The following is a 6,370-nucleotide window of genomic DNA, read 5'->3' on the forward strand; positions in this document are numbered from 1 at the left end:
TTACAGTGTTGTTTTAGAGAGCATTCCCAATAAACCTCCTACATGCAAATGTTCATCTCAGCATCTAAGACAGGTAAATTCTACATTTACCTTGTAGGATTTTTTCTACCAGGATTAAAGTCAATGTATGTATTAAGCAAATGCTCATTGTAATGCTTTAAAAGCCATGATCTACATAGTTCAGTCCTAGAATTAAGCCAGAATTAAAATACAGTATATTCAAACAGAATAATTCCAAAATAACTTCAGTTCTTTACTTATCCTATTAGGAGCAAGACTCTTGCTTGTAAGTTACAAGAAAGCCAAGTAAGACTTGTTTAAGGAAAACACAGGCTTATCTACCTATACATGTGGTTGGTGGGGACCATTCATGAACCTATAGGGTCCAGGGGTAGACTTTCATGCACATCTGGATCCAGGGGACATTAGCTATAGGCAGTCATCTAGAGGCTCAACTAGAACACCAGCATATCTGGGTCTTTTCCTTCTCCATGCAATGGCAGCGCTTCTTCTTCCCCTTGTGCTCTGTCAGCAGGCTAGCTAGACTTCTGGTATGGTCACTCGGGACTCCTAAAAGTGCAATAGTCACTGCTGTGTTATGATATGCAGCTTCCTGTTGTGTGCCATGCCATCTCAATGTTTGGTTCAAAAATCCCAGAATGTCACTCTAACACCTCCTGAATTAGGGTTGGGTTCTCAAGAAAAATCCCCGAATGTCCCTCTAACACCTTCTGAATTAGGATTCTTAAGAGAAACAGGACCAATAGGGTGTGTGTGTGTGTGTGTGTGTGTTGCAAGGAATTGGCTCACATGATTAGGCAAGCTGAAAAGTTTCAAGATCTGCAGTCAGCAAGCTGGAGACCCAGGAGAGACAATGCTGTAGTTCCAGTTTGAGCCCAAAGGCCTGAGATCCAGGAGAGTCAAATTACGTAAGTTACAATTTGAACATCAGCAGGCTTGAGACCCAAGAGCCAGTGTTTCAGTTCAAGCTCAACGGCAGGAAAAGACCAATATCCCAGCTGGAACACTCAGGCAGAAGGAGTTCCCTCTTACTTGGCCTTTTTGTTTTAGTCAGGTCTTCACATCTTCTATTGATTACATCAAATCATGGGCCAGAACAACTACACAGAAAACCAATGAGGAAATAGCAGACTTGAACTACACTATCATCTGTTAGATATAACATACATCTATAGAACACTTAACAACAGCAGAATATATTATTCTCAAGTATACATGGAACATTCTTCAGGATAAATCATTCACTAGATCGTAAGACAACCCTCAATAAGTGTAAAAGAACTGAAATCAAACAAAGTACGTTCTCCACAGGGCAGCCCTGTGGGACTACACAGAACTACACAAGAGTGAGAATACCAGGTGTTCACTGGGGCTCATCATTAGGGACCAGCTCCCAAAGGCTACCTGGACAAAATCTACTTACAGACAAAAAGCAAACAGTTTTGGGCATGTCGCTGGCTGCTCCCTGAAACTCCTTTGGTTTTCCATGTTCAGGCTTTGGATCTTGGTAAATACAAAAGTTCTTTGGAGGACTAACACACCAAACTTGTATCAGTCACTTATATCTTTGTAAAACCAAAGATCTTCAATGATGTGATAAAGGAAGGATATACATCAAAGCCCTGGGACTCAAGATGGGAATAAAGGAGCTTTACTGAAAGATGCGTGGGGCAGGCTGGATGGCAAAATCAGATTCAGAAACTGACCTCACTCACTTTTATAGTTTCCATAGTGCTAGGCCTGCTTAGGTCCTTCATAGGTAGTAATAGCCAAGTTTCTCTCCTTCGGGGCATCTTTAATAGGAATGTCAGCCCAAGTCCAAAGCCATGCAGCTACAATAGCACAATTTTGGACAGGTACCAAAATTGGGAAGGAATGGGGTTGGGGGCATTAGAGCCTTCCTAGAGCCACCAAAATCACAAACTAACTGCAGTCTGTTGATAGCCTTTTAATGGACATCAAGATATACTTACTAGAGCAAAGGTTCTGTCCTTTTCCCTTAAGATGATGCCTCTCTTAGGGATTGGAGAGCAATCCTAATTTACAAATCAGTTTTTGGAAACTGGTTTGTAAATATTGACATCATAGTTAGTTTGACCTCAGTAACCCAAAGCTACCAACAATGGCAGAAGAGCCAAAGGGTTCAGCGTGATTGGCCAGTCTGATCGTTTTTCTCTTTGATTTCAGAAGGCAATGATTCCTCAAGTGTGCTTGGAATGGAAATTATAAACAAGTCATTGCTTTCTTCTTATGTGGAGGTCTGCCATGTGAGCCGCATATTTCAAGTCTTACCTGCACCTAGCCTTTGGCCTGAAATGTGTCATTGAATCAATTAATGCTTTTAAATGGCTCACTTTACTCCATTTTTCTGCATACATTCAGTTACCTAATTCTGTTAGCAAAGGCTATTGATGGGTCTAAGAAAAACTGAAGGCCTTCATCTCTGGCAAAGATTCGTAATTTGTGATGTTGGTGGTTACTGCACCCAAAGTTTCCAACTTAATTGGGAACAGTGGGAAGTAATTTAGTTGTGACTGTTTCTCTAGCTGTTAATTTAGCTGATTTTCATTCTATTAAGGCTTTAAGGGAAACAATTCCAAACTAATTAGCCAGAACTTCCATTTGGTAGTACAGTAGTCAGTTATAGGTAGGACATGCTGGGTGTTTCACTTGTCCAGGCTTCTTATGGTAAATTCTGCAAGGGTGCCCACCCTCAGCTCTGGATACATTTGGCATCTAGAGACAGATCTTCGAAAATGCTGGTGTTTATAATTAAAACCAGAGTCTGTTCGGTGACCAAACACTAAAACTGCTTGAGTTTTGTTTTTCTAGCTGAATTTCCAATGACAAAATATCACAGGCGTTTTGTTTATTGGCTCTTCCCAGGAGAACTGCTGCTAAGATAATATCTAAAGCTTACAACATTGTTTAAAAAGAGAAGTAAGCATTGTAACTTCTCTTTAAAAAAGATAAAGCAAATACTTTCCACTTCATTATTTTATTAAGACTTTAGTGATTTTGAAAATCTGATTTTTGTCTGCTAATGCTTGTGAACTAACTGTGGTTTTTCTAAGTTTTCCACAGGACTGTTCAAGCAGATGAGGCACCCCCATGTTCTGAGATCTTTACAAGGCACAGAGAATGGTCCAGCTCACTTAGTCATCTTCCAAAGCCAGGAAGGGGGCTCAGCCCAGTTCTGCAGGAACAGACCTAAGCACCAATGATCCCTGCGTCAGGTAGTTCTAGCAGCTGTCTTTCCTTCTTGCACAGGTAATTCTATGCTACACAGCCCCAAAACAAAAGCTTCCTCAGTGGGGTCATGGTAAAAAAGACTTTTTTTTTTTTAAGACAGAGTCTTGTGCTGTCTCCCAGGTTGGAGTACAGTGGCAAGATCTTGGCTCACTGCAACCTCCACCTCCTGGGTTCAAGCAATTCTCCTGCCTCAGCCTCCTGAGTAGCTGGGATTAGAGGTGCCCGCCACCACACCCAGCTAATTTTTGTATTTTTAGTTGAGACAGGGTTTCACCATGTTGGCCAGGTTGGTCTCAAACTCCTGACCTCAAGTGACCTGCCCACCTTGGCTTCCCAAAGTGCTGGGATTACAGCCAATGTGCCCAGCCCCAGACCGTCAATTTTAAGCTGCAAATTTGGTTTGGCAAATTTGGCCAAAATGAGAGAAATCTGATTGCATTTCTCCCACCTGCACCATCAGCCACTCCCTTTGCAGCTGAGTCTGGTAGGTGCTTCTCCTTCCCTGCCAAGGACACACTCCACTGCTTCCTAATTGCCTGAGTTTTCAGTGGCAGCTTAGATGTTGGCCAGGCTTTAATCAGCCTGGGAAACAGAGTCCTCTGTCAGCACATTTGCCACTGAGGCCTGATGGGAATGTGTGTGACTACACAGCAACAAAACGGATTCACCAGCCACATGGGGAAACCAGCCTCATTACTTCAGAGTCACGTCACGTGGTCTCCTTGGGCCAGCAACCGCTCTTCTTAATTCCTGCTTTCATCAGGCCATTTGTCTTAAACTACATGCTTGTCTCATCTCAAAATTCATTGTTTAGCTTACATACAGTGGAGACCTGAGGATTAACACATCACGGCACTGAGGGGAAATGACTTGTTCTCATTCACTCATTATTCAGCAACCATTTATGAATGTCTGTTCAGCCATTAGATAGTCTAGATTTTCCAAGATAGCTCTGTTTAAGGAAATTTTGAGGCTGGGTGTGGTGGCTCACGCCTGTAATCCTAGCAGTTTGGGAGGCAAAGGCGGGCAGATTGCCAGGAGTTCCAGACCAGCCTAGGTAACATGGTGAAACCCCGTTTCTACTAAAACACAAAAAATTAGCTGGGCATGGTGGCGCATGCCTGTAATCCCAGCTACTCAGGAGGCTGAGGCACAAGAATCGTTTGGACCCAGGAGGCAGAGGTTGCAGTGATAATCAACCTCAGCTATCACAGCTGAGATAGCGCCACTGCACTCTAGCCTGGGCGACAGAGTGAGACTGTCTCCAAAAAATAAAATAAATTTTGATATTTTACATAAAAGCAATTTATTAACTATACATTAAATATGTTCTTAATACTTGAGGTGTAGCATCACGATTCTGAGAAAATGCTTATCACAACTGAATGACAGAATCCATAAACAGAGCCAAACTGAGTCTTAAGACAAGAAATGCCCTTCCAAAAATGTAACCTTACACCTTCTCTAGGGGAGAAGAGTTCCTGGTGAATAAAAACACAGGGTCCATTCTGTGATATGAAACAGGACTTTGCAAAGTGTTTTCACGGATAGCTCATTTCTAGTTTTTAAAGCTGCCCCTTGTTTGGAAACAACAGCCACTTCTTGCAGAAAGAAGACACATGTGACTGTGTTTATATCTCTGAAGACAGAGGCAGGATTAAGGTAGTCTGCAAAATCTGACTTTTTACAGGAAGAATAACTCTTATAAATACACAAAATAGGAAAACAAGGGGAGAGGTTGCATGACGTGCCCCAAATTTGCGATTTGACTTGCTGTATATTAGTATCTTTGTTAGGAGCAAAGATGGATAAGCCGTAATTCCTGCTTCTAATGTGTTCACTGTAGCAGGGGACAGGAGGTGTATATACCAACCGTTCTAATAGGAGTTGGAAAGGGACAAGTGTTACAAGGAAGAAAACACGGGCACTGCCGAGAAGGACATTACCTTCTGCCGGAAAGGCCACTTAGAGGAAGCATTTCAGCCAGTGTTGAAGGACCCAAAAGCTTTGCAATAGCAGAGATGTGTGGTCAGGTGTTGAAGGCAGACAAAATGTGTGAGCAAAAATCTGCCAAGAAGGGTAATAGAGTCCAGGTCGTGGGAGGACAGTACAGTGAGATGAAGAGGGAGTGACAAATTGATCAATACATCTCAGGTTAGCGAACCTGGACATCATTTAGCAAGCAGTGGGGGAAGGGTAAACCTGAAAGTTATTAAGGTTGGGAGTCGGGGGTGGGGCATGATCGGAGACGCTAATACGGAGGTCTTGAGTAGAATTGGGAGAGACGGGAGATACAGGGAGGACAAGAGGAATGCAGGGGACTGAGAAGGCAGACGAGACCTTCCACAGTGTGCAGGAAATGGTCAGGCCCCCTGTGCAGGAGGAAGAGGACTGTTGATGGAAACCTGTGGCCACAGAGGCTTCTGGCATCTCACAAAGCCTTTGGTGTCAGTCTGGCAAAACACTCTGGCCGGGAACAAGGGATGCTGGGTGAGTGAGAGCAGTGCCCCTCAAACCTTAATGTATGCACAAACCACTTGAGGATTTTGTAAAAATGTGGATTCTGCATCTGTAGGTCTGGGTGGGGCCTGAGAGAGTGTACACATTTTCAACAACTTCCAGGTGAAGCTCATGCTGCCGGTCCAGGGACCACCCTTTGAGTAGCAAGGAGCTAGAACTACTCACATTTGCTAATTTTAGGCAGTGATTTATAACAGTTGGAAGATCTGTGAGACAGTGACCCAATTGCGTCTAAGTGTTCTTATTTCTTTAAATCTCACTCTAAATGTAGCAGGAAGCTGGCACATGATTAAACTTGCATTTGTTTCTTAGATTCTAATTTGACTCATGGAAACTGCGGTCCTCTCCCCAGGAGGGTGTGTGTGGACAGCCTTTCTGGGTGTAGAAGTTGTAAGCAACCCCTCAGGACAATCTGCTTCCCCATGTATGGGGGAGTGGGAGGATGCCAAAAAGGGGAAAGAGTCCCAGAAGCCTCCCTTCTGTATTAGGGGGCCTATAGGAGCAGCTTCGGGACCCTGCAGAAGTCAAGGAAGGAAGAATACTCATCCAGAAGTGATGGATCCTCGAGCCCATCCTG

This window comes from Homo sapiens, chromosome 2 (assembly GCF_000001405.40).
Source record: "Homo sapiens chromosome 2, GRCh38.p14 Primary Assembly".
Lineage (NCBI taxonomy): Eukaryota > Metazoa > Chordata > Mammalia > Primates > Hominidae > Homo > Homo sapiens.